Source organism: Homo sapiens, chromosome 8, assembly GCF_000001405.40.
Source record: "Homo sapiens chromosome 8, GRCh38.p14 Primary Assembly".
NCBI classification, from domain to species: domain Eukaryota; kingdom Metazoa; phylum Chordata; class Mammalia; order Primates; family Hominidae; genus Homo; species Homo sapiens.
Window position 1 is genome coordinate 17,902,763 of NC_000008.11, and position 27,436 is coordinate 17,930,198.

Sequence of the window (27,436 nt, forward strand, 5' to 3'; positions counted from 1 at the left end):
GAAAGCAGAGCCTGAGACAAAGATTTGGATACAAGTAGTTTATTTGGGAGGTGATTCCAGGGAGCATAAACAAGGGTGTGGTCAAATGAAATAGAACAGGGAGGAAAGCCAAAAAGTACCTAATGAGTGGGGGTACACTCATAGACAACTGAGGCTCCAACCTACTGAAACCTCTGAGAGCCCCACATCAGAATTTTCCTCTCAGGTGGCAGGAGACCAAGAGTAGGTATATATCCACCAACCCCAGGTCCTTGTTGCTTGAGGGTTGCTTCTGTGGTATTGATTCCACCTGTTGTACTATGATCCTTCCACGTGTGCTTTAATCCCCAGCTCCTCATTTCTTCTCTAGAGCTAGGTTGATTACCTTCCTCTTTTTCACTATTGACTTCACCCTTTCCTTCCACAGTTGTTTCCCCTTTTTACTCTATGAACAAGCCCAAGTCTATTAAACCCTAGAAAATTAAAATCTCTCTTACTCCTGCCTCTAGTAACTTTCCTATTTTTCTCTCCATTTCAACTATGCTTATTTTTTAAGAAGACAGTCCACACTCACTGATTCCACGGTCTCTCTTTCCATGAACTCCTCAATTAAAGCCAGTGACTTCTGACTCCTTTACTGCAATTGCGGCTGCTTACAAGATGCCACAACACTCCTCATGGCAGTTTCTCGCTGAATTCTCAGGCTGCTCCTTCTTCCTCAAAAGTTCTTCTTCCACAGGCTTTTATAAAACCCATCCCTCTTAGTTCTCTGGGCATCCTCCAAGTTTTCCATCTTTCCTTTATGGAGTATTCTTTCCTTTTTGGTCCATTGAATGTTAGTGTTTAACAACTCCCAAATATTTCATTCCAGCTATTACTTCTCTCTGTAACTCCAGAAGTGTTTGTCCAGTAGCCTGTTAGCTCAGACTAAATTTATTATAGTCTCTTCTCTTCCTCTTCCCTCCCCTTGGGAAGAAAGGCTTGCCTTCGAAAGAAGATAGTGAGTTGGCAAAACCAGCATTTACTCACTTCATTTACCCACTTCAAAATCTTGGGATTATCAGAGAACATTCCTCCTCCTCATCCTGCATTTCCAGTTAGTCAATAAGTTCTGCTGATTCTACCTTCTAAATGGTAAATTCTCTCCATCAGCGCCATTGCTGCTGTCACCTTAATTCATGTGTTCATCACCTTGGCATAATCTACTGGTATCTCTTAGTTGATCAATCTGCTCCCAGTTTCTTCCTCATGCAGACCATCTGCTACAGAGTATAAAACATTATCTTGATGCAAAAAAAGACCACATTACTTCTCTACTTAAAAAGGCTTAGAAGTTCTCCATCAAGTCAACAATCAACAAGCTAAAATCTGATTTCTTTTATGTGGTGATCTAGCTAGTCCCAGTGTCAGTATCCAGAAGCCGCTCAGGTGGTCCCAATGGCTAAAGCCATCATGAGCCAGCCAACCTGGCATGTGTGGGTGCTTTGAAATCAATGGTTAAAATCTGAGTGTGGGAATGGATCCTGAGACCTTGTAGCCCTAAGTCAGTATTGGCACAGAGCCTTCTCTGTAAACTTAAATTAAGTGTCAACATTTAGAAGTCACTTACTATGAGCCAGGTACTCTCTGAACACTTCCTATGTACTAATTCATGTAATCTCCAGAGTAGCCCTTTGAGATATGTATTATTATTTTTAATTCCCATTTTCCCAGTGAGGTGACTGAGACATAAAGAGAGCAAGCAACTTGCTTAACATCATATATGCCACGATTTGACTTGAAGTAGACTGTTCTAGAAGCAGGGTCTTATCCATTTGCTATGGGCTTTGTTAGCTTTACACAGAGGCTGTGGGGTTCCCAGGCTTAGAACATAATTCCAGCCTGTGCAGGGATCTAGATGAATCAGAGGTGAAGAGTGGAAGAAAGAAGCAGAGTGGAAGCCCAAGCCACTGATGGCAATCTGAACTTGGAGCGTAACATCACCAGGAGAATCTTTATCTCCACATCTTCCCAATCCTCTATAGTTCTGTCATCCAACACACACACAGATACAGACATACACACGCACACATAGACACACACACAATCCATGAGAAGCTTTCACCAGATCAGAAGTGGAATTATTGCTGCAGAAGGTAATGATGGATGGCCCCAGACCACATGAGAATGTTTTTAAAAATGACAAAATATTGGGAATATAACAAACAAGCAAAAAAATGGGACCCATCTAGAGAGCCACATGTGGTCTCTAATTCCTCCCTGCACTGTGGGTTTGGAATGAACACTGGCCCCTAAGAACCGAGTTAGCCATGCCCTGTTCTTCTCTTGAATATAATGGGAGGGGATGTCAGGGAAATGGAGATGTCTCTTCTCACAATATCTGCTAATCAGGATTGTTCAGGGCCTTGTGCAATTAATTTTAGCTTTCAAAAAAGAAATAATTTCTCAGAACTCCATGGTGAGGAAATAGGTCATACTCATTAGCATAGTCATAGAGGAAGAACAGTGTTTAATAATAGGCCTGGCTGAAATAGGCTAGCAGTGAAACTAGAAGGGCAAAATTATTCTGTTAATGAAGAATTAATGAAGATTTTCGAGTTTCCTTAGGTAACCCAAGAAGAAAGGTGTGAAAAAGGAAGGAGTGAATGAGATAAGAATGGGGAGGAGGATGTGAGGAAGGAATACATCAAGATGCCAGGGAGCTGAGCAAGAGGCAGCCAGGGAGAAGTTCTGGGCTATGGCCAAGGATCTTTAAAGAGCAAGGATCTTTAAATAGTCAGTTTTAAGATGTTTGGTGCAGCCTAAATTCCTCTTCCTCTTCCCCTGCCTGAATCTTCCGTAAGAATCTACTACACAGAGATGCCTTGTATCTGCAGCATTTTGAGAAGAGGGAAAGAGGCTGTTGCTTTGGGAATGATGCAGAGTGGAGAAAAAGAACAGCCAAAAGAGGCTAGACTTGAGAGAAATTACAGTAATTCAGTAAAAGCAGGAAATAATAGAAAAACATTGACTCCAAAGATCCTGGAAGGTGCCAGCAAGTGAGGTTAGGTTTCCCACTGTAGATGTAATGGAAACATGGTTTCCCCACCAACTTCGAGGCTTGAGAGCATTCAGGTAACTGATACTTGTTCTATGTTAGTAAAGCGGATATGTGTCTTTTGACAATTTACATGTGAAATAACTGCAGCTGTTTTCTAATTGAATTTCAAGGCTCCATTCCATGGGCTCAGAGAAATCTGATTCTCTACTGCTTTCAGCATGATATCAGACAATTTAGAGTTTCTCTCCAGTCTGGGGGTTGCATATGATTTCTGGGGTTTGGGGTGGTGTGAAGTTGGTATAATATCACTACAACTGTCTATTCTTGCTCTAGTCACTGGGACCTCAGCCTGAGGGACTACACAGATTGCTGCCGCAAATCCCCCCGCTTCCTTTTCAGCAATGCAAGGGAAAACATCACATTCTTTTGATTTCCCACCAATTCATCCTCTTTCCACCCCGGCAAATTGTGGGAGTGGGAGCTTCTCTGATTTTAATCTTTTTTCATCTGTTGTTTCTAATATTGCTGGCTGTGACAATCCGCAGAGGAAATGCATGCCTACCTCTAGTCTGAATGGGGAAAAACAAAATCCAGTATATAAGAAAATATATGGTACAGTGGCTGTGCATGGTGGCTCATGCCTGTAATCTCAGCGCTTTGGGAGGCCAAGGTGGGTGGATCACAAGGTCAAGATATCGAGACAATCATGGCCAACATAGTGAAACCCTGTCTCTACTAAAAATACAAAAATTAGCTGGGCGTGGTGGTGCATGCCTGTAGTCCCAGCTACTTGGGAGGCTGAGGCAGGAGAATCACTTGGATCTGGGAGGTGGAGGTTGCAGTGAGCCATGATTGTGCCATTGCACTCCAGCCTGGTGACAAAGTGAGACTTTGTCTCAAAAAAAAAAAAAAAAAGAAAGAAAATATATGGTACAAACTAATACCTACAAATATCATTCGGTTACATTGGCTTTATACCCTCTCTTTCTATTAGTTCAAAATAGTACTCATAAAATAACCATCCTGTAAAGTAATGAAACTGAATTTTCTTCCATTGCTAATTTCTCCTCTGACCTAACATTAATTATCTAAGAACTTAAGTGTTTAGTGCTCTACATCAGAGGTCAACAAACTATTGTATCGCCCACAGTCTAAACTCGACCCATGGTCCATTTTTATATATTTAAGTAGTTGAAAAAAATCACAAATAGATCGATATCCTGTGACCTGTGAAAATTATATGAAATCTAAATTTCAGTGTCTACAAATAAAGTTTTATTGGAATATAGGCATGCTCATTTGTTTATATACTGTCTGTAGCTGCTTTCATTCTATAACCACAGAGTTGAGAAGTTGCAACAGAATGTATAGCATACAATGCTGAAAATATTTAATATCTGGTCTTTTACAGAAAAAGTTTGGTCAACCTTGTAGGGGAACCAGCCCGCTATACCACCCGCGGGTTCTCCCCTTCCCAGTGGAGACGAGGGAATGAGAAAAGAAATAAAGACAAACACACAAAGTTCAAGAGTTAACAAAAGTGGGTCCAGGGGTCCATCGCAATGTGGAAACTGCGACAGCCCTGAGCTCTGGATTCCACTGATATTTACTGAGTACAGTTCCTTTGATCCTATAGGCTGAGGGTGGGCAGATGGTGGGGTGATCACAGGGTGACCATGGGGAGAGGTGGCAGAGGGGGTAGCATGCGTCATCAGCAAGTTAATATTATTTACTGTTCCACTGTATAAGCTAATACTCTATGTTTAACTTACAGATAATCCTTAAAGTCCAACTAATTGGTTAACAGAACAGGACGTGAAAGCAGACAGCCCGTCAGACCACAGGCCTGTGCATCAAAGGAGCGGTCCACTCCAAGCACCATCAGCAGGGCAGCAGAGCTCTCTGCCTCTGGGAACGAGCGAGAGATAGAAGACTTTCCCCTTATCCTCAGAGGACTTCTCCTCTTTTACAAGCAACCTCCTGCTGTTCCCTTCTGGGGAATGGAGCAGGGGTCGCTTCCCTTCCCACAAGACCTTTGTTCAGGGACTCAAGTGGGAGGTTGAGCAATAAGCAAGCTTTCTTGCTTAGAGGCTCCGCACACTTCCTGTGGTTGTTTGTTCCACCCTGCAGTTAGGCAAGCAAGCTCACCGCCTGATTCTTATATTGTCGGACTAAGCAGAAGCTATTCTTATGATTCATGACTATATTAATAAAGCACTATTCTAAAGCATATTTTGTTAATCCTTAAACAGGCACACCATAGGCCAGCCCTCAACCACCTCGGCCCACATCCAAGCCCCTGTTTTGACCCACATTTCCCCCATTTTTTAAATTTAAAACAGCCATCTCAATCATAACTTGCTTGTGGTTTTGATTTTCTTTCAGGAGCTGCCTTCCGCATCTGCAGACTAAAAACAGACAACATAAGCAGACACAAATTAAAACAAAATTAGCAATGGCAGAGCTTCCCAGAGTTTTAATCCATTTGATAGAATTGAGCTCCGAGAGCCTATCTGCAGCTCCAGCAAGCATTTCTGCTCCAGGCAACAAATTTAAGTGAGCCTGCGATGCTGCAAAAATCTGTTCTTTTAATTTAGTTATATCCAGGGTTAGATTATCTTCTCTTCCTTGTAAGTGGCATCAGACCTTTTCCCACTGATGTTCAGTAACATTATAAGAATAAGGAGTAATACAAAAAGCAGATGTATTCCAATCACATTGCATTTGCATACGATGCTCTAAATGCATAAAACGATCTCTTATCCAGGTGACTGTTTGCCTCAAATCATTAATTTGATTGGCCAACTTCTGATCAATTTTTGCCTGAGAATTCCATAATCTGGTGGAATTTTTCTGCCAGGCATTAACATAATGAGCAGTTTGAATGGAAGAATGCAAGGCAACACCTGCCACAGCCGCGGTGGTGGTGACAGCAATCAAGCCCATAATCACAGCAATTAAAGTAAAAATAAATCTTATTGTACGATTAAGAATCCCTTTTAAAACTCCAGTTATTACATGAATAGAGGGAAAAGTCTCCCAAGGCCTATTAAGAGTAACTGGAATCCAAACGCCCTCTCGTGCTCGGACCAGCAAAATGCTATTCCTCATATCAAAAGTAGAATGAATACAAGTAAACAGATGGCAATTGTCACAAGTAATGGTTTGAGAGTCAGGTAAAATGATAAGTTTTCCAACAACTAACATGTAAGGAGGTTTAACACAACTTTGAAGAGAAATAGACTGATTAGACTGAAGAAGCATGGTAAACAGTAGCTTATTACCTCTTGTTCCCCATGATGCTTCCCCTTTCCACACTCTCATTCCGGAGGTAGCCATAAGCAACTTCCACAATTCTGGATGTTCCAGACCCATGACTGGACTAATTATCTTTGGCCAGGGAGGAGCAGTACCTTTATCTTCCCATTTCAATGGATATAGTGATTCCAATCTTCTAACTAAAGTGGGGGGATTATTGGGACTTTCTCTATAATCTATCATGAAGGAATCCTCAGCGCACCCAGCATTTTGTCCAGTGCAATTTCTGGCAAAGGATCCTTTGGGGGCCCAATCTATAATTATTCCATAAGAATCCTTTTGCAAAACTACTGCACCATCTGCTACACAGTTGTCCCAAGCAAGAATCTCTAGTTTTTCTGACCATTTTGGATTTCTTTTAGGACAAGCCAGTCCTTGAGATTTGTAATTTTTTACTTTTAAATTTGACCGAAAATAACCATCCCCATAAGTTTTTACAGTCATGATAGGTTGGAAAGACATTCCACTCACTACGTGATAACTGGGTTGGGAACGATTATGAGGAGGTACATAGATTATCCAACTATGTATTTGCAATGGTAAACATCAAGGAGCAATTCCTAAACAAATTGGAGGGTATTCATACCAGTTACATTCATCAACATACCCTCCTTCTCAGGCTGTGCAGGACAGCCATCATCAATCGGCCCAGGCATCCAAAATACTATCATTTGTATAAACTTCAATAGGGGAATCCATCCAAGTAACTGGCCTAATTAAAGGAGGAAATGGAACAGAAGCCAGTATGTAAAATTTTCTTCAGTCCAGACAGCAGGGAGACTTACCGCCGCGGTAATTACCATCAAGGCAGCCAAGATCATATTACCCGGGATAATTGCCAGTTGTTTCTCCTTTAGGCTGCCCTCTGCCATTTGAGTCAGCTTCTTTATCTGTTCTCATGTCGGTGGTGTAGCCTGGCGGGTCTTCTCCGTCTTCTGTTGTTTCTCTGAGACGCTCAGCTTCGTCATCTTTCTCAGCTCCCGAAAGGACAGGTCGGAGGGACCAGTCTTCTTCCTCTTTGGATTCTTCCCTTTCTTCTGTCCGGTCGGTGTAGGGTTCATTGCAGAATTTCAAATGTCTATTGGGTATCTAAATGGGTGTTTGATTGTCTCCTGGTGAAACACAAGCAAAAGCCCTTCCCCGCGTCATAATTTTTCTTAATTCCCAAGTTTTAGTTCTGGTATCCTTCCACCAGACCGTTTTTCCTTCATGTAAATTAACTTTCTGTCCAGAAAAGTGTTGTTCCGCTGCTGTGGAGACCTGATCTCTGGAAATGTTCAAAAAATTTAGAGTCAAAAGGGCTAATTGTAACTGCCTATGGGGCGTGGTATACTCCTTACTGCTTCCCCCTTTCTTTTGTTTTTCCAATTGTGTCTTAAGAGTCCGAATGGCCCTTTCTACTGTGGCCTGACCTTGCAAATTATAGGGTATTCCTGTAGTGTGTACAAATTTCCATTGCTGAACAAAACTTTCAAAAGTTTTACTGCAATATCCTTGTCCGTTGTCCGTTTTCATTTTCTGTGGCACACTCATGACTGCAAAACAAGATAATAAATGTCGTTTTACATGAGCTGTACTTTCTCCAGTTTAGCACGTAGCCCAGATAAACCAAGAGAAATTATCAACAGTAACATGCACAAGAGAAAGTTTTCCCAGTGATGGGACATGAGTCACATTCATTTGCCAAAGAGCATTTGGTTTAAGCCCCCTAGGATTAACTCCAGGTTCTTGAGTAGGTAGCTGTAGCACCTGGCATTGCGGACAATGTTGCACTATATTTTTAGCTTGTTTCCAGGTAAATGAATATTTATTTTTTAATCCAGCAGCATTTACATGAGTTAATGAATGGAATTCTTGAGGCTCTGTTAAAACAAGTGTCACTAATAAATCTGCTTGATTATTTAATTGGGTTAAAGGTCCTGGTAAATTTGTGTGAGCTAGAATATGTGTAATATAAACAGGAAAATTTCAAACTCTAACTGCTTGTTGAAGTGAACTAAACAAAAAATTTAGCTGATCATCAGAAATATATTTTATTAAAGCTGTTTTTACCATTGTTGTCGCCTGAACCACATAGGCAGAGTCAGAGACAATATAAACAGGTTGATCAAAATCTTCCAATACAAATATAACTGCTTGTAGCTTAGCTCTTTGTGGAGAATGAAACTGGGTTTGAATAACCTTTTCTTCTGGTCCTGTATAAGCTGCTTTTCCATTCTGAGAGCCATCAGTAAAGACAGTTACAGCCCCCTCCAAGAGGATAGAACTGGTTATTTTAGGTAAAATCCAGGTAGCCAATTTTAGGAACTGAAAAATTTTTGTTTTAGGGTAATGATTATCTATATGGCCAACAAAACCAGCTAAATTAGACTGCCATTCTGATAAATGTATAAAGGCTTGTTGAACCTGTGCTTTGTTTAAAGGAACTACAATTTTATCTGGATCTGTGCCAGTGAATCTAACTATTCTTAATTGGGCTTGGCCTATAAGAATAGCTATTTGATCTAAGTAAATTGAAAAAGTCCTAGTTGTACTGTGGGGTAAAAAAGACCATTCAACCAAGTCAACATCTTGAATAATCACTCCTGTAAGAGAATGGAGAGTAGGAACACCAAGAGCTGTAAGGGAACACTAGGATCTATTCTACTGACTTGAGCACTTTGAATTTTTTCCTCAATTATTCTTAACAGCTGAAGCTGTTGCAGGCGTCAGAGTTCTTTTGCTATGTAAATTTGGATCCCCTCTCAGCAAAGCAAACAAGTCAGACCTCGCATAAGTGGCAATTCCTAAGGTGGGCCTTATCCAATTAACGTCTCCTAATAATTTTTGAAAATCATTTAAAGTTTTTAAGGACTTCTTACGAATTTCTACCTTTTGAGGCATAACTGTTCTCTCCTCCACCTTCATTCCTAGGTAATGATAGGGTGTAGTAGTTTGAATTTTATTTGGCGCTATAGCGAGAACTGTAAGCCCCACCATTTCTTGTAACATAGAAAAACATTTGATAAGTCTATCCCTACTTGTAGCAGCACATAAAATGTCATCAACATAATGAATAATATTAACAATCAGGAAACTGATCCTGGACGGGCTGAATGACCTTCCCAACGAAAGTTTGACGAATTGTAGGACTATTTAACATTCCTTGGGGTAAAACTTTCCACTGATACCTAGTAGCTGGTTCCTTATTATTTATAGCAGATATTGTAAATGCAAATTTTTCAAAGTCCTGGGGATCCAAAGGAATGGTGAAAAAACCATCTTTCGAATCAAATTTTTTTTTTTGAGATGGAGTGTCACTCTGTCGCCCAGGCTGGAATGCAGTGGCGCGATCTCGCTCACTGCAAGCTCCGCCTGCCGGGTTCACGCCATTCTCCTGCCTCAGCCTCCGGAGTAGCTGGGACTACAGGCACCCGCTACCACACCCGGCTAATTTTTTGTATTTTTAGGAGAGATGGGGTTTCCCCGTGTTAGCCAGGATGGTCTTGATCTCCTGACCTCGTGATCCTCCCGCCTCGGCCTCCCAAAATGCTGGGATTATAGGCGTGAGCCACCGCGCCCGACCCAAATCAATTATTACCACCGGCCATTCTCTTGGAATCATGACTGGGGATGGCAACCCCGGTTGGAGAGCCCACATCGGTTGAATGACTGCATTAACCGCTCGTAGGTTGGTCAACATGCGCCATCTACCGGATTTTTTCTGAATTACAAAAACCGGGGAATTCCACGGTGAGAAAGAAGGTTCAATATGTCCTTTGTCTAATTGCTCTTTTGCTAGTCAATGTAATGCCTCCAGTTTTTGCTGAGGAGGCGGCTACTGATCAACCCACACAGGTTTTTGAGTTTTCCATTTCAATGGGATGGGCTTTGGAGGCTCAACAGTGGCCGCCCCTAAAAAGAGTACCCAATTCCTTTTCGGTCAAGTTTAACTGAAGCTTCAATTGGCTGAGTTATTCCATCCTCATTCTTTCCTAATGTTTTTCCAGGAGTATACCCCAACTTAGTCATCATGCTTTGACTCTCTGAACTGTAAATCATAGAGGGAATGGTGATTTCCGTACCCCACTGTTGTAACAAATCTTTTCCCCACAAATTAATGGGAATGGCAGTAATTATAGGTTGGATGGTGCCTTCCTGTCCATCTGGTACTAAACAGTGTAAAATTGTAACACTCTGATAAACTTCAGATGCCATGCCTATTCCAATTAAACCCATAGAAGCTCTCTGTTTGGGCCATGTTTTTGGCCACTGATCCAGGGCTGTAACAGAAATATTAGCGCCTGTATCGACAAGTCCTTCAAAGAGTTTTCCCTGAATCGTTATTGTGCACACAGGTCTATTTTCAGAAACTTGACTTACCCAATAAGTTGCTTTTCCTTTGCTATCAGTGCTGCCGAAACCACCTTCTCTTTTTACTGTACTTTCTCCTACTTAGGTAATAACAACAATTAGGTAATAAGGTAATAACAACAATTGAGCAATTCTCTCTGCCTGGCTTGCACTCCAAGGAATACTAGAACTAATAACCAATTGAATTTCTCCCACAAAATCGGAATCTATCACTCCAGTATAAATTTGAACTCCTTTTAAATTTAGACTAAATCTCCCTAAAACAAGTCCAACTGTTACCTCAGGTAAAGGGCCAAATACTCCAGAGGGCACCTTTTGAGGTGGTTCCCCTGGAAGCAGAGACACAGCTCTGGTGCAACATAAATCTAAAGCAGCGCCCCCTGTTGTAACTGGCGCCAATTATGTTACTGTGGTGGTCACTTGAGGGATTAAGGGCACTGGTGCCCACTGACGGACAAACTGCTGGAGAGGGAATGCCCCAGTTTGGAGTGGGGCCTGAGGCTGGCCCCTCTTCCCATTTCCCAATTGCGCCTGCAAGGGTTGGCCATTTTCATCAAATTTGGAGTGACACCGTTTAGCCCAACATTTACCCTTCTGGCACCTGGGACATAAGCCAGGTGGCTCCTTTGTTTGATTAGATCTGGATTGTTTGTTTGATTTGTTCTTATATTCCTTTTTTGTATTTCCAAATTGCCCACAGTTATAACAATTGCCTGAAAAGTTTTTCACTGGATCTCCCACCTTTGATCCTGCCATGTTTTGAGCCATTATCATAGCCTTATGCATGATTCCACCAATCTATCACATGCCCTGATATACTCATTGATTACATCAACTCCCACCAGAACCTTTCCTTTCACAGAGCGAATAGGTGATTGACAGTCAGGGTTGGCATTTTCATAAGCCAAGAATTCTATAATCACCTTCCTGGCACTTTCATCAGTGAGAGCCTTCTGAGCTGCATCTTGAAGAGGAGCAATAAAATCAGGATACGGTTCTTTTGAGCCTTGTCTGACAGAATTAAAAGAGGGATAAGTAGTTCCCGGGTCCTGAATTTTTTCCCATGCCCTCAAGCAACAATTGCGAATTTGCTCAACGGCATCATCCTGAAGCACTAATTGTTGTACAGTTCCTCATTGGCCCCCAACTCCCAACAGTTGTTCAAGTGAAATGGCAACAACAGGATTAGCAGCACGGTTTTTTTGATCTTGATTTTGAGCCTCATCGGTCCACCAACTTTTAAATTGAAGAAATTGGGAGGGCGAAAGAGTAGCTTTTGCTAAAATCTCCCAATCGTCCGGGGCCAATCGCTTGTCCTGAGTTACTGAGTGTAATAGTGACTGGACAGAAGGCGAATTGGGACCTTACTGACCAACAGCTGCTTTGAGATCTTTAAGCAGCTTAAAAGAAAATGGTTCCCATACCGCCTGATGGGCACCACCCTGCTGCTGTGGGAGTTCCAAAACTACTGGAAACTGCCAGGCATCGGGATCTCCAGCTAACCTAGCCTGCCGAATAACCATTTGAAATGGTGATTCATTGACATTAGGTGGCAGTGCAGCCCTATGCTGTACTGGTGCTGCAAAACGTGTTCTTGATTCCTGAGCCCCTAATTTATCCATTCGTGAAACAGGGCAAATTGGAGATTCAAACCTCCAAGGCTCCAGGTTACGTTGCCTTATTGGAGGTGGCCACTCCGGATGATCCCAATGAGGAGCCAAAGATTCCTCAAGGCCCTTCTTTGTTTTAAACATATTGGCATAAATAGCTTCTCTATTTTAGGAGCAGCTGGAGGTCCCACATGCTCCTCAAAAGAAATTAAGTCATCTCCAGGTTTGTCTGTACTTTCCTCAAAATCTTCTTCACTATCCTCTCCTCCTTCAACTTCCTTTATATTTATATTGGCGGCAGCACCGCCTTCCTCCGCTGGAATTCTTTCTGCCGGAGGATAAACCTCGTTTTCCATTTGAAACGGTTCCAAGGCTGCTTTAACCATAGCCCAGTCTGACCAGACCGTTAGAAGAATAAGTTTTCCTTCCTTATGAACTTGTTTTAAGGCAATTCCAACCTGCTCCCAATCTTTTAAATCCATGGTACCTTATTCAGGAAACCAAGGGCAATACTGCTCTACTGTTTGAAACAGAGTAATCAAGTTTTCTGTGCTAGCCTTTATTACCCCCCTCTTTAAGAGGAGTTTGATAAAGTGTAAGTAAGCAGAGTGCTTACTTCCCGATTGTCCCATGGTGTCCCTGGAATACTCCGAGCACACAAGCTTACCGCAAGGCCGACCACACGTTCTTGGGAGTCCCTCGACAGACTGGTCTCCGCAATGACCATGCTCAGGTGTAACTCCACCTGGGTACAAGGAGCCCACACTGGGTGCCAAAGATGTAGGGGAACCAGCCCGCTACACCACATGCGTGTTCTCCCCTTCCCGGTGGAAATGAAGGAATGAGAAAAGAAATAAAGACACAAAGTTCAAGAGTTAACAAAAGTGGGTCCAGGGTTCCATCACAACACGGAAACTGCGAAGGCCTTGAGCTCTGGATTCCACTGATGTTTATTGAGTACAATTCCTTTGATCCTATGGGCTGAGGGTGGGCAGATGGTTGGGTGATCATAGAGTGACCATGGGGAGAGGTGGCAGAGGGGCTTAACAGAACAGGATGTGAAAGCAGATAGCCCGTCAGACCACAGGCCTGTGCATCAAAGGAGTGGTCCACTCCAAGCACCATCAGCAGAGCAGCAGAGCTCTCCGCCTCTGGGAACGAGCGAGAGATAGAAGACTTCCTCCTCATCTCTACCGCAGAGGACTTCTCCTCTTTTACAAGCAGCCTCCTGCTGTTCCCTTCTGGGGAATGGAGCAGGGGTCGCTTCCCTTCCCACGAGACCTTTGTTCAGGGACTCAAGTGGGAGGTTGAGCAATAAGCAAGCTTTCTTGCTTAGAGGCTCCGCACACTTCCTGCGGTTGTTTGTTCCACTCTGTGGTCAGTCAAGCAAGCTCACCGCCTGATTCTTATATTGTTGGACTAAGCACAAGCTATTCTTATGATTCATGACTATATTAATAAAGCACTATTCTAAAGCATATATTGTTAATCCTTAAACAGGCACACTGTACGCTGGCCCTCGACTACCTCGGCCCACATCCAAGCCCCTGTTTTGACCCACAAACCTCTCCTCTATACCAGTGTGTTTCACCCGCTATCAGAGTTTTACTTGTTTCCTTATCTAGATTGGGGAGAGTCTTGGATAGACCGGCCTGCCATCCAACGTCCTTGGTTTTTAGCCCTGGAAATTATTTAGTTCTTCTGGTAAGGAGAGGGCATTTTCTCTTACCTGGTTAATCTGAATTCACGTGTGTTTTGCTAGTTCTCCCCTGACTTTGGGATCTTTCTCATGGAAGGAGAAATGCAATGTGGAAGCCTTTTTACGGTAAAATAAAAAATTATAAGGCCAAGGTGGGTGGATCACAAGGTCAGGAGATCGAGACCACCCTGGCTAACACGTTGAAACTCCATCTCTGCTAAAAATACAAAAAATTAGCCAAGCGTGGTGGCGGGTGCCTGTAGTCCCAGCTACTTGGGAGGCTGAGGCAGGAGAATGGCTTGAACCCGGGAGGCGCAGGTTGTAGTGAGCTGAAATCGTGCCACTGCACTCCAGCGTGGGCGACAGAGCGAGACTCTGTCTCAAAAAAAAAAAAAATTATAATATATACAGCTGTAGCTTTCCTACATAATGCCGTGAATTTAACATGAATCATTGTAACCCCAATCATGCCACATACTCCTCTGCTAGTCCGTATGGATGCATATTACAAATCTAGTTGTCACCTGCAGATCTCTTTATTTCTGTGAATAAAAACTTATTTGACCCAGAAACCAACTTTTATAAAATCACTCCAGATTATTCCTTATAACCATGATAATTTTGAGTCCTTATTTCATATCATTTTGTTTTGATTAACAGCTTTTTTAAAGTGAAAGCTGAGGTTTAATTTTCATGCCTTTCTAACATTTTTCCTATGAATTAGGAAACAAAATCTGTATCAGCCCATATTTCCATATTTTTGGAACTCCCTCACCTAATTATCCAATTTTTCTACTTAATTACCAACATATATCTAGTTACATAGTTCTGGTTTAACTGTTTTGGTATAGTGCTGGTGGGAAACAAGGAAAAAGATGTGGATTATTTTCCTTGTAGTTTTAAAAAATGGTTACTCATATCTCTCCGTTTAAACCTCTCCAACTTGGTGTGTCTTGGGAAGGAAGCAATTTACTCAAGATTTTACTACATGATTGCAGCTTTGACCACATTTTCAGTGAATAGAGAAGATGACGTAAAAACATACATACAAGAAAAATACAGGAAGAATCATGTAGTAATCACAACTCTGTAGAAGTAAAGCCATGTGAAAACTGATGAAATGCAACTATAGATGAAATTGTCAGAATCACGAAGGTTACATCCATTAAATGAGTGATTTTTGAAAGAAAAGAACATAAATTGGTTATGAAGGAAGAGGCAGTTCAGACCGTTACAAACGTTAATATTGTATGTCGACGGCAGTAATTAGGTATTTTCAAATCTAATAATAAAGAATCAAAACTAGGCAGTAATGAGAGATGTTCTGATAATTAGATCTGGGGAAAACAGAGCAAAGTAAAAAGAGCCTTGAAACATTACTTACGCATGTGGATTTGATAGAATTCGTTGACATAATTATATAATGGCTGGTTGATTAGATTATATACATCAACTTTTAAGTTTTTGAGCAAAAGAGTTATGGGAGAAAAATCTCCCTCCCCAAACTCCCGAGGATGCTTGGCAATCAATGTCAGGAGACATTTTTGGTTTTTACAATGGACAGGGGTTTGCTCTAGGTATACAGTGGGTAGAGGCCAGGGATGTTGCGGAACCTCCCGGAACGCACAGAACCGCCCCACAACAAGAATCACCCAGCCCAAACTGTCAATAGTATCAAGGTTAAGAAACTCTGGGCTAGATTAAAAGGTAGAGAAGTTAACCGTGCTACAATTTAACCAAAAGGTGTAAGAACTAGGTCAGAGGCCTCCAATTAGTCCTTTGTTTGGCATGACCAGTCTCTTCTTCCATTAAGTTACCCAGAAAGCCAAGTTATATTTTTCAGGAATATTCAAAAATTAATTTTACGTTCTGCTCTTAATAAATTTGGGGTTTATACCCATTAAAATGGATGAGTCGCAGAAACACAATGTTGAATGAAAAAAGCAAGTAAAGCAAAAATACATTCAGTATGATATCATTTATATAAAGCTTGAAAACAAGCAAAATAAAACATATTATTTAGGGATATCCATAGTTACATGAATAAAATGAAGGAATTCAATAACATTGAATTCCGGATAGTATTTATGTCTGCAAAGAGGAAAGAGTTTGAAGAAAATGTGGCAGGGAGCAGTCCTTAAACATCTTAAGTTCTTTTTTTTTTTTTTGTTTTTTTGACAGAGTCTTGCTCTGTCACCAGGCTGGAGTGCAGTGGCACAATCTCGGTTCACTGCAACCTCTGCCTCCCGGGCTCAAGTGATATTGTCCTGCCTCAACCTACCTGGGATTACAGGCTCGCACCACCACGTCTGGCTAATTTTTGTAGTTGTAGTAGCAGCGGGGTTTCGCCACGTTGCCTTGTCTCAAACTCCTGACCTCAAATGATCCAACTGCCTCGGGCTCCCAAAGTGCTGGGATTACAGGCATAAGCCACTGTACCCAGACACGTTTTGATTAAATTCTATTTTCAAAGTTAGGTTGTGGGTTCTTGAGTGTTTCGCTCGTTATTGTACTTTATGTATGCATGTATGTATGTATGTAGAAACAGTTTCCTTAAGTTCCTCAGGCTGGTCTGGAGCTCCTGGCCTCAAGTGATCTTCCAGCTTCAGCCTCCCAAGTAGCTGAGATTACAGGCATATAATGCGCCCAGTTGTCAGTATTGTACTATAGAGTTTACATGTATGTTATATATTCTTTTGGGTGTATCAAAAAATCACATAATAAAAACAAATAACATGCAGTTATAAAGTAGTGGATTTGTCCCTGAAGATTTTTCCTTTAAGTTCTGTCACCATCTGCAGGTTAAAACTAGGTATTGCAGAAAACTTGTTTTTCAAAGATTAAAAAGTACAAACGGCTGGATTTCTGTTACAGACATGCTTACAATCCATCTGTGGATAAGGAGCATACAGAATACATTAAAGAGATAAACATTATAGCACCAAGTGTTTTGTTTTTTTTTTGAGACAGAGTCTCGCTCAGGCTGGAATGCAATGGTGTGACCTGGGCTCACTGCAACCTCCACCTCCTAGGTTCAAGCAATTCTCCTGCCTCAGCCTCCTGAGTAGCTGGGATTATAGTCACATGCCATCACACCCGGCTAATTTTTGTATTTTTAGTAGAGACGGGGTTTCACTATGTTGGTCAGGCTGGTCTCGAACTCCTGACATCATGATCCACGCGCCTCGGCCTCCCAAAGTGCTGGGATTACAGGCATGAGCCACCGTGCCCGGCTGTGTTATCTTATAAGTACCACCTGGTTAGTGTCCTACCAAATATCAAGAAACAGAAATAGTATTTTCACATCATAACAACTGATTTAGTTTATGTGAATAAAAATTTAAATCCCTTACTTTATTCATCCTGCTACTACCTTAGGCCAAGCCTTCATTACTTCATGACAGGTTGGCACCTGTTCTCCTTGTCTTCTTTTCCTAGTCTTTACAAAACATTGCCACTAGATTGAAGTCTTCAAATAACCATTTCATTACAGCATTGACCTCTTCCAAAGTCTCAAATGGTTTCACACTAACTGAAGAACAAAGTCCACACTCTTTAGATAAGTAGTTGACTTTCTATAGTTTGGCCCCAACCTGGTAATAAACCTTGCCTTCTCCCACCTCCCCATCACTTACCATATATAAATCCTCTACTTCAGCCAGTCTGTTTTTTGTCCATTGCTTACTCTGGATGTGTGATCTGTGTTCTTGGTATATCCCACTTCCTTGAACATCATTCTGCAATTTGGAACTTCCACCCCCTGCATATTTAATACATGTGTTAGGTTGTTCTCTTGAATGTGGAAAACTGAAAGGCAGTTTCAATGTTTATCTCTTAGAGGCCATTCTTCTGTTTCCTATCTACATTTCCACAGACTGCTGCCCCTAATTTCATCCTACCTATAAATCCTAGAGCTATCATTATCTCTGAGACAAAACATCCCTATTTTAAAAATCTAAATTACCACAGCAATCAGTGTCTACATCATTTGTTTGGCATAGTGACGGACTATTAACACTAAGTCGATTCATTCTGATAAAGTTTGTTTCTAAAAATAGATGTTAAATTTCTGAAAGCCAGGTATAATTTTATCGCTTCTTGTTTTTTTTCTTTCCTTCTTCCCTTACAAAGATCAGTAATGCTCATATTTGAGTTTGAGATCCCCTTTTCAATGTAAATATTTCTCAAATTCCTCTTACCTCCCAACAAACAATAGTATTGACATTCTGGGGCTTCATAAATTCAGAAAACATCATGACTAGTAGATATTATAATTTCATGCTTTTGAATTTATTAGAATTGTTTTAATGATAACAGCTTCTACATTTCAATGTAAATATTTCTCAAATTCCTCCTACCTCCTAATAAACAATAGTATTGACATTCTGGAGCTTCATAAATTCAGAAAACATAATGACTAGTACGTATTATAATTTCACGCTTTTGAATTTATTAGAATTGTTTTAATGATAACAGCTTCTACATACGTTTAATAATAATACATATGTATAAAGCAAAATAATGATGATAGCTAATATTTCGGGCCTCAACATATACTAGTGTTTTTATATGCGTTGTATTTAATTAAAAAAAATCTTAAAGGAATCACATAGACCTCCGTTTAAATTTAGGCTCTACCACTTGCAGCTGCTACAAGTTTGATTTATATAATCTTTCATTGCCAAAACGGGTCAGATTCAGAACCAGCCTCTTCAGGGTAACTGTGAGGATCAAGAAAATCACAACAGCCGAAGTGCTTTACAGTGTGCCTGGCATAAAACAAACTCTGAGAACATTTTTTAAAAAATCCTTTCAAGGTAGGCAGTATCATTCCTTCCCCCTCATTTCATAGATGGGGCAATTAAGGCTCAGAAAGGCACGTCGCTTGTCCAGGATCTTGGAGTGGTGGAATTAGGATAGGGCATTCTGGACTACAATAAACACCTGAGCGTTTAGCTGCTGTGTTCTGAGCTCCCACAGCACTTTTTCTTACAACACAAACTTTATTTACATCACACTCCACTTCCGCATCCTTCACTAAAATATGAGCTCTTCAAGGGCAGGGACTATATTTTTGCTACCGCAGTAGTTAGCGATACACACACAGAATATGAGGAAAAAGTGTCTGACCAACGATCAATGCACTCACGACTGAACCTACGGTGGCAGATTGCAGTGGGATAGAAGAGCTTTATGTGAATTGCGTACTGAGATGCAGACCTACTATTTTGGGAACAATTTGTTTTTGTTGTTGAAACCCAGAATGCAATTCTTCTTTTTACCTTTATTTTGCTTAAAAAGTTATTCCATAATTATAAACTGCGTAAAACTAGAAGAATGCCCTTGCACTCAACTAAAACTGACAGGTGTTTTACCTTTCCAGTCAGGCACATTGAAGGCCTTGTGACTTTATTGATTTTTGTTTTTTAAAGGGAGGACCTGCCAATTTATTAATCTTAATAGAGCTGTAACAGGAGAGTATAAATAAAAAGATAGTTCAGAGAAAATTTACTGAAATTAAGTTTGGATTAAAATCATCTGGCTCTTTTAAGGAAAAGGGACATTAACCAAAAGTGGCGTTAACTATCAACAATATTTATGATTCTCTCACTCAGTAGATACATAATGACGTCTGGCAAATTGTTTAACTTCCGTGGAACAATCCCCTCATATGTAAAATCAGGAGGTTGGACTACATTGTAAGTGTCCTTTTGTTTCCACCTCTTCGTGACCGAATGTGGGGTGAGGAAGGGGCAAAAAAGCGATCCCGGTCTTGGCTCCTTCTTCCGGCACGGGCCGGAGCTGACACCCCCACGGAAAACCGCACAGCGCCTCCGCTCTTTCTCCACGGGCTGAGGGATCAATGCACTTCCGCATAGGCCTAGGGCCCCACGCTCCGCGATCAGCGCCGGAAGCGCACGGCATGCTGGGATTTGTAGTCCTCCACCTGTGGCCGGCAGGCGTTTAGAACGCGAGGTCTAGTTGGCATTCTGGGATACATAGTTCCTGGGCGGGTGGGGGCGGATTCGTTGGTGTAATCTCTTTTCGGCTTAAAGAGCCAGAAGCGACACCACAGACTCCGGCGGGTCACATGACTCCAGTCTAGCTCGCATTGCGGCTCCCGCCCGGGCGAGTTCTCGCCCCCGCGCGGCCGTTGCCGAGGAGACGGCGCATGTCCCGCCGCGCGTTGCCCCCTCTGCAGTACCCCCGCCCCTCTTCTCCCACCACAATGAGATCCTAAGATGGCGGTGGCTGCGGCGGTTGGCGCTGCGTAGCTGAGGTCGAAAAGGCGGCCACTGGGGCCGAGGCAGCCAGGAAACGTGTGGGCCTCTCTGCTGCGGTCTCCGAGGGCCGACCGCTGCCGGCGGCGGGTCGTGGGGGCTGACTGTCGCTCTGCCTTTGACAGGAGAGGCTGCTTCTTGTAGAGGTAATGCCTGCGCGTCCCCAGCCCTTGGCAACCTAGGGCGGCGCGCCCCAGAGGCGGGAGAGTAACGGCTCCGGGACACTCGGCCCTGTTGGGTCTGGCCACGGGCCCACGCCTCCTCTGTAGGTTCCCGGGTCTTCCTGCCCCGGGCTTCCCGTGCCCTAGGCGGTCAGTCCGCCCGCTCCCTCAGGACTGATCGCCGGGATCCCCGGGTGAGCACCTCGCGACGCGTTGGTGATTGCAGGACTCCCTTCTTGCCTCCTCGCCCCTCCTGCTGGCCCTGTCGGGGAGGCTGTTCTGCGTCCCGGTGGCTCCGGCTATACCCCTTGCGGGCGGAGGAAGCGGAGCGGGGACTCTGGTTTGGGTGCTAGGGGCACTGGGTCGAGTTCTTAGAGAAACAGGCCTTGGTGGCCATAGTTCTTCCCCGCGTTCCCTCTGTGGAACTCTCGGTGTCCAGAGTTTGGGGTGTAGAAGGGCGGATGAGGAGCGACGCGACTCTGAAGAGTTGCAGTTGGGCTGTGAGCTGCAGGATTTCCGCCGTCTCTGGTGCTGTGGGAGCCGATGGGCCGGGGGAGGCGTTCCTGGGAAGGTTAATGGAGTAATTATTGCCCCTTCTTTCTCCCTTCCTACCTATCTAGTTAGAATTGGGCCTAGAACCGGGAAAGACTAAATGCCAAGTGGGACTGGGGGAAACGTTGTTTGGTTTACAGAAACTGGCGTTTGGGGATTAGGCCCCGCCAGGGAGGCTGGGCGCGCCAACTTTGCATCCCTCAGCCTACTCCCCAGGAACTCGCCTGGTTTAATTTTTTTTGTTTTGTTTTGTTTTTTTGAGCGAGTTGAGGTCTGTATTGTGTGTCTTACGGGTGACGGTTCGTGTTTGGGCGCTGGAAGGAGCGGGCTTTCTGGGCGCCCCTACCACCCCCGCCCCATAACCGCTTTCCAGACTCCGCCTGCTGGTGTTCTCTGGTTACCGGAGTGGGTGTTGCAGAGCCTCGGGTGCACCTGCTCCTTTCTTTCCCTAGCACCTTCCTGGTGAGGACCCCTGAACACCAATATAATACAGAGTTTTTGAATTGAAGGTAAACCTGGTATTTATGTAGTGACGAGGTTATTTTATTATGAAGTACAGTAGCTTTTAAATGAGCAAACATTTTTAAAATCATCGGATATACGAGGTTGTTACATAGTTTGAGTAACAGGAAGCTCGATCAATCAGAGGAGTAAACTTTGGCATAGACTATTAAAGGATAGTTAGGGCTAACCATCTTTGTTACACTGTTCCGAAATAGATATCACTTTGCTGTTTGGTAAGATTTCAGAAGTTTAGGGGATTTAAGCATTTATGCATATCACACTATTTTCCAAAAGAATTGAGGTAACTTAAATTTAAAATATGAATAAGTTATATTTTTCCCCTTCTTTTGATCTTTCTAAACATACTTTAGACCAAAACTGAAGTATTTTTTATTCTGTATTTCATAGCGTAAGTAATTTACTTAAGTGATACATATTTTTAATCCTAATTAGGAAACAGCTTTGAAGTGTGGAGCGGGAAAGGAGCAGTTTCTGAGCTGCAAAAACTAGTTTCTAAACAGGTAATTTGACATTATTATCTGTATTATCCTTTGTATTAGAGTTGGAGAAGACTTTATGGTGGACACTGCTGTCACAGTTACAGTGCATGACTGAGGATCCTCTCTGCTTAGTAAACAAACTTTCTGGGTTCACCGCCCTGTTTGCTCTGCTTTTCGGCGTGCTGCTTTGGCCTGCCGGTATATCTTTGTTCGGAAAGGCCCTGTCATTCCTAATTATTAATTACTAGAATGGTTTATGCAGTACCGTTTGAAATTTATTTGTCTTCACAGAATTTTTTCAACCTGTTTGAATTTGTCCTATAACTGGATAGCCTCTCTTTCCAAATCCATTTAATCTCAAGTTCTCTCCTACAACATTCCTATTAATTGGCTGTTCATGAACTCTACTTGTCGAACTTGTTATACCTTGACCGAAATTTAGTTGTCTAAAATTACTTTATTATTATTTTTTGTACTTCGATCTCCCTTTCCTGGTATAAAGTTACTTGAAACATTACTTTTAGCGCATAGTACATTGTCACATGCAAGTGACATAAAGGTATTCTCTGTCCAGCAGAATAAAGTCAGTGTTGTAGAATGTAAGTTCACTAGGAGAAGTTCAATAATTGTTTGCAAAGGGCAGTTTGGAAAAATGGCTAAAAGATAATTAGAAGTTTGTTAAAAGCTTTTTAGAAATAATTGCTCTTCAGAAAAAAACCTCAGAAATAAATAACCTAAATTTAATTCTACTCTTAAAATTTTAAGAAAGTTCATTTTGAAAGTTTTGTAGAAATTGGCTGGGCGCAGTGGCTCACGCCTGTAATCCCAGCACTTTGGGAGGCCGAGGTGGGCGGATGACGAGGTCAGGAGATCAAGACCATCCGGCTAACATGGTGAAACCCCATCTCTACTAAAAATACAAAAAAGATTAGCCAGGCGTGGTGGCGGGCACCTGTAGTCCCAGCTACTCTGGAGGCAGAGGCAGGAGAATGGCGTGAACCTGGGAGCAGGAGGTTGCAGTGAGCCAAGATTGTGCCACTGCACCCCAGCCTAGGCAACAGAGTGTGACTCCGTCTCAAAAAAAAAGAAACTTTTGTAGAAATCAATATATATTCTTGCTTTCTACAAAAGCAGACAGATTTTTATTTTATAGCTCTCCTATGAGGACCTGAAATGAGACTGTCATGAGAAAATACGAATAGGTAGTTGATGTATATCTTAATTATAATTCTCAGTGGGTTTTTTTTTTTTTAAACTGGAAGACTAACAAAACAGGGCAAGAAAAATGGAACTCAAGGGAAAGGTCACATGTGAATGTGTGTGTTAGAGTTGTTAATACTACAGTGATTGCTGTATGGTGGGCTTTAGTAAAATAAACAATAATTACAAAATTAGTTATAAGATTTTCCTTTTAGCACATTGGGGAAGATGATGGATAAGACGAATAAAAATAAAGGGTAATTGAGTTAACTTAAATTGGAAGACCTGGGTTTTTTCAATAGGAGATTTGGCCATTTTTTTCTGAAGGAGGAAAGTGGATTTGAGACTTGGAGAAACTAGTAAGGCTGTGAGATTCACAGTACAGAACTAAGAAGACAACCAGAAATACCTATCAGTACTTTCATTTTTACGGATTTGAGTGCTAGGCAACGTGCTATGTAATGACTACTACAGATAAAACAGTGTGCAAAACAGACAGGGTGCCTTTCTTCATGGAGTAAATTTACATTTTAAAAGTATCTATGTGTATGTAGAGTGTAGTATATCTTAATAGTGATCACAGGCAATGCCATTTTATGATCATTTCCCCACTTTTTGACAGCTTGAGAATAGTAGCAGAGAAAACAGACAGTGGAGTTTAGCCAGAATTGAGTCGACACAGTACGCAAGTAGGTGAGGAAGTGAAGGATGCTAGCTAGCAAGGCATTTTTGCAATGACTTAGTTGGGTTTGGGTTTGAGTAAAGAATCAAGGGATTGATGGATTTAGGGAGAGAGAAACGATCAAGGGGCTGGTAGTATTCAGGAAGGCTAAGAGCAGTTTCAGCAGGAATCAAGTGAGAGAAGTAGAATGCAAAAACTTATGATCAGAAAGAGGAACTTCAGAAGTTCAGGATCCTGAACAAATTATCAGTTCAGTATTGGAATAGAGAAGATGAGATGGATATTGGAATTGAGGCCAGAGTCCTAGAAAAGTCATTGCAAGTGTTTAGTTCATGCAAGCAGGGAATGAAGTAGAAAGTGAAACCATGCGCCAGTTACTGTCAGGAAAAGTACAGGCATATCTTGGATATTTTCAGAGGTGATTATGAGTAATTTAATGCCATTTGAGAAAAAAATAATTTTTTTCGTTACTGATCACTTTGATTTTTTTTTTTTTTTTTTTGGAGACAGAGTCTTGCTCTGTTGTCCAGGCTGGAGTGCAGTGGCATTATCTTGGCTTACTGCATCCCTCTCCTCCCGAGTTCAAGCAATTGATTCTCCTTACTCAGCCTACCAAACAGCTGGGATTACAGGAACGCCCCACCACACGTGGCTAATATTTGCGTTTTTAGTAGAGGCGGAGTTTCGCCATGTTGACCAGGCGAATCAAGTGATCCGCCTGCCTCAGCTTCCCAAAGTGGTGGGATCACAAGTGTGAGCCACTGCACCCAGCCTGATTATTTGATTACTTTGAATTTCTTCTTTACCTTATATTCTTATTTCAAAGGTAAACTGTAGTCATAGGTATTTTCATGGTAATTAATACTGTGATATTCTACTGTAATATGTCTCTATAGTTAGAATCCTGCAACGGGATGTTCTTTTTTTTGGCGATGGAGTCTTGCTCTGGCACCCACTGGAGTGCAGCAGCGCAGTCTTGGCTCACTGCAACCTCTGCCTCCCAGGTTCAAGTGATTCTCCTGCCTCAGCCTCCCTAGTAGCTGGGATTACAGACGCGTGCCACCACGTCCGACTAATTTTTGTATTTTTAATATAGATGGGGTTTTAACATGTTGATCAGGCTAGTCTTCAACTCCTGACCTCGTGATCCGCCCGCCTCAGCTTCCCTAAGTCCTGGGATTACAAGCGTGAGCCACCGCGCCCAGCCTAACAGGATTTTCTTAAAAAAAAAAAAAAAAAAAAGTCATTGAAAGTAGCTTAAAATTGCCATAGTATATTTTCATTTTTGTGTCTTTGTAAAAAAAAAAAAAAAACCACTAAGGCTGTTAAAAATAGCTAAATGAAACTTGAAAGTAACAGTTTCAACTTCGTTTAGTAAGGCATAGCATGAGTAGAAGTGCGTGTTTAAAGTAGAAGGATTTTATTTTTATCCCCGTTCAGCTACCCGTAGTACTGTCATCAATCACTTCTACCAATTGTTTTCCTACAGTTTCAACTTTCTTATCTTACTGTCTTTCTGTTTAACTTGCATGGCAAAATTTCAACCTTGGGTGGATTCAGTGGAGTGTTTATATTGAGGGATATGAGCACTGCTGGAAAAAAATATCTGTAGTATGTGTTATATGAGTGAATAGTCTCTCGTTTCCCTGAGTCCGTAGTGCTGCCCACGGTCATTCTCCATTCCCTACTTTTCTACGCTCTCTCAGACACTGCTGTCTCACCCTCACATTTAATGTACAGTCCTTCCTACTTCACAACACTTAGGAACACCTTTGGTTTCCTACCACCACATCTGCTAAGCAGCCTCCAACCCATTCCATCCTTTCTTGGTTTTTTTCAATTAAAGAGATGTTCTTCTTCCTCTCTAAAGCTAATCATTTGTCTTTTGCTCTAGACCCCAATGGCCCCCGCTTTCTCAGAGCCCACATGCTAGTTGCTTATCTCCTTTCTCTTCTGCATTTTTAGTATCTCCCTCTTTTTTTTTTTTTTTTTTTTTTTTTTTTAAAGTGAGGCGGAGTTTCTCTCTTGTTGCCCAGGCTGAGTGCAATGGCACTATCTCCGCTCACTGTAACCTCTGCCTCCCGGGTTCAAACGATTCTCCTGCCTCAGCCTCTCTTGTAGCTGGGATTACAGGCATGTGCCACCATACCTGGCTAATTTTTGTATTTTTAGTGGAAACAGGGTTTCGCAGTTTGGAACAGGCTGGTCTCAAACTCCTGACCTTAGATGACTCACCCACCTCAGCCTCCCACAGTGCTGGTATTACAGGCGTGAGCCACCGCACCCGACCAGTATCTCCCTCCTTACCAACAAATTGTAAACGTACTCAAGATACTTCTATTTTAATAAAACTTTCCTTATGACCGTCTGTGCTTGCTTCTCATCATAGGCTGATTCCTTAAAAATATTAGCTAATGACTTTCTTTATTTTTTCCCTCTTCCTTCCAATAATACATTCCAGTTATGGAATTGACCCTCACTACCCCTGCTGAAATTTCTCACCAAAGTCAACAGTAACCTTGTTGCTAAATCTAGGAGGATACTTCTCAGTACTTCTCTTATCTGGCAAGGTAACTGTTTGGTTTCTTATCACATTCTACTTGATACACTTTTCCCCTTTTGGCAGGCTCTCCTGGTTTCCCTCCTGTCTTTCTGTACCTTATTAGTGTATTAGCGTGTCCTTTTCCTCTGCCTCTCTATTTAATACCAGTGTATTTAAGATCTGGTCTTCTCTTACTCTTTATCGTCTCCCTGAGTCCTCTGTCCCACTTTTTGAGTGGATGACTCTCCAGCCCAGATTTCTCTGTTGAGAGATAGATCGCTATTTGTCAACCGGACAATTTTATTGGGTGTATTATAGGCACATCAAACTCTCCATTTCTAAAACTTGAACTCATCATCATCCTCTCTCAACAAAGAAAACTTGTTTCTTTTCTGATCAGTTTAACTGTGTGTCACATACCCAGTTTCTAGCAACCTTTATCCTTTATCTTTTAACTCTACTATCCTTTAACTCTTCTGCTTCTTTATCGCCCGTGTTGTAATACAGTAGTCTGCCCTATTCTGTGTGGGATACCTTCCAGAGACCCCCAGTGCATGCCTGAAACTGTGGGTAGTACCAAACTCTATGTGTATGTTATTTCCTGTATGTATGTAACTGTGATAAAGTTTAATTTATAGATTAGGCTCAGTAAGAGATTAACAATAACTAATAAGACAGAATAGTCACAACAGTATACTGTAATAAAAGTTACAAGAATGTGGTCTCTGTCGCTCAAAATAACGTACTTTACTCACCAGTTTCCTGACCATGGTTGACTATGGGGAACTATAATCCTGTAACACAAAACTGCAGATAAGGTGGGGACTATAGTCACCAACTCCTATTGATCCTGCACAGCAGTTTTGCTTGAATTGGTATTCTGTACATCCTTAGTCTTTTCGTTATTGGAATACTTCCTTTTTTTTTTTTTTTTTTTTGAGACAGAGTCTCGCTCTTCCGCCCAGGCCGGAGTGCAGTGGTGTTATCTGGGTTCACTACAAGCTCCGCCTCCTGG

At 42.0% G+C, this 27,436-nt stretch overlaps 3 protein-coding genes across 35 annotated transcripts in view, besides 7 other annotated features; 1 reads left to right on the plus strand and 2 right to left on the minus strand.

Moving 5' to 3' along the window:
• Window positions 1–23: 23 nt before the first annotated feature.
• Window positions 24–13,225, minus strand: LOC124901892 (endogenous retrovirus group K member 25 Env polyprotein-like). Its single transcript, XM_047422511.1, has one exon. The coding sequence runs from the start codon at window positions 6,797–6,799 to the stop codon at window positions 5,660–5,662; it is 1,140 nt and encodes a 379-aa protein (XP_047278467.1). The 5' UTR covers window positions 6,800–13,225; the 3' UTR covers window positions 24–5,659.
• Window positions 8,731–9,521: an enhancer, noted in NCBI's record as "OCT4-NANOG-H3K27ac hESC enhancer chr8:17769002-17769792 (GRCh37/hg19 assembly coordinates)". NCBI's record gives its function as "activates a minimal SCP1, AML or CMV promoter by ChIP-STARR-seq in primed H9 embryonic stem cells {active_cell/tissue: H9 hESC(primed)}" and the evidence as "EXISTENCE:reporter gene assay evidence [ECO:0000049][PMID:30033119]".
• Window positions 9,522–10,310: an enhancer, noted in NCBI's record as "H3K27ac hESC enhancer chr8:17769793-17770581 (GRCh37/hg19 assembly coordinates)". NCBI's record gives its function as "activates a minimal SCP1, AML or CMV promoter by ChIP-STARR-seq in naive H9 embryonic stem cells {active_cell/tissue: H9 hESC(naive)}" and the evidence as "EXISTENCE:reporter gene assay evidence [ECO:0000049][PMID:30033119]".
• Window positions 17,418–17,712: a silencer, noted in NCBI's record as "tiled region #2266; K562 Repressive non-DNase unmatched - State 9:DNaseU". NCBI's record gives its function as "represses a minimal TATA promoter and a strong SV40 promoter by Sharpr-MPRA in K562 cells {active_cell/tissue: K562}" and the evidence as "EXISTENCE:reporter gene assay evidence [ECO:0000049][PMID:27701403]".
• Window positions 18,266–22,225, minus strand: LOC124901867 (uncharacterized). The gene is made up of 4 exons (XM_047422505.1): window positions 22,152–22,225; window positions 21,395–21,465; window positions 20,747–21,004; window positions 18,266–20,584 (listed from the first exon to the last, which is right to left on the minus strand). Exons 1-4 carry the CDS (start codon window positions 22,223–22,225, stop codon window positions 19,902–19,904), a joined length of 1,086 nt encoding a protein of 361 aa, XP_047278461.1. The 3' UTR covers window positions 18,266–19,901.
• Window positions 19,594–20,043: an enhancer, noted in NCBI's record as "active region_27048". NCBI's record gives its function as "activates an Ori minimal core promoter by ATAC-STARR-seq in GM12878 lymphoblastoid cells {active_cell/tissue: GM12878}" and the evidence as "EXISTENCE:reporter gene assay evidence [ECO:0000049][PMID:35858748]".
• The window catches only part of PCM1 (pericentriolar material 1), a 106,961-nt gene continuing 99,750 nt past the window's right edge, over window positions 20,226–27,436 (plus strand). For 29 of the 33 annotated variants that reach the window (NR_148032.2, NM_001352633.2, NM_001352650.2 and 26 more), the window contains exons 1-2: window positions 20,226–20,426; window positions 21,951–22,018. The gene's annotated coding sequence lies outside the window, so the exon portion shown is untranslated. The remainder of the gene's footprint in view (window positions 20,427–21,950; window positions 22,019–27,436) is intronic. The other 4 variants (NM_001352638.2, NM_001352651.2, NM_001352652.2 and 1 more) reach the window with 1 other exon arrangement.
• Window positions 20,438–20,732: a silencer, noted in NCBI's record as "tiled region #9839; HepG2 Repressive DNase matched - State 1:Tss, and K562 Repressive non-DNase unmatched - State 1:Tss". NCBI's record gives its function as "represses a minimal TATA promoter and a strong SV40 promoter by Sharpr-MPRA in HepG2 and K562 cells {active_cell/tissue: HepG2 | K562}" and the evidence as "EXISTENCE:reporter gene assay evidence [ECO:0000049][PMID:27701403]".
• Window positions 21,194–21,253: an enhancer, noted in NCBI's record as "active region_27049". NCBI's record gives its function as "activates an Ori minimal core promoter by ATAC-STARR-seq in GM12878 lymphoblastoid cells {active_cell/tissue: GM12878}" and the evidence as "EXISTENCE:reporter gene assay evidence [ECO:0000049][PMID:35858748]".
• Window positions 23,971–24,030: an enhancer, noted in NCBI's record as "active region_27050". NCBI's record gives its function as "activates an Ori minimal core promoter by ATAC-STARR-seq in GM12878 lymphoblastoid cells {active_cell/tissue: GM12878}" and the evidence as "EXISTENCE:reporter gene assay evidence [ECO:0000049][PMID:35858748]".

What these genes read in the sequence shown, in the direction of transcription:
- LOC124901892 (XM_047422511.1), bottom strand. Translation starts at nt 6,799, where the DNA reads ATGTCTTTCCAACCTATCATGACTGTAAAAACTTATGGGGATGGTTAT.
- LOC124901867 (XM_047422505.1), bottom strand. Translation starts at nt 22,225, where the DNA reads ATGACAGGGCCTTTCCGAACAAAGATATACCGGCAGGCCAAAGCAGCA. An exon ending in AAAGCAGAGCAAACAGGGCG is followed by an intron (nt 21,466 to 22,151) that starts GTGAACCCAGAA and finishes ATTGGTGTTCAG; the next exon opens with GGGTCCTCACCAGGAAGGTG. An exon ending in GCTTCCTCCGCCCGCAAGGG is followed by an intron (nt 20,585 to 20,746) that starts GTATAGCCGGAG and finishes CTGACCGCCTAG; the next exon opens with GGCACGGGAAGCCCGGGGCA.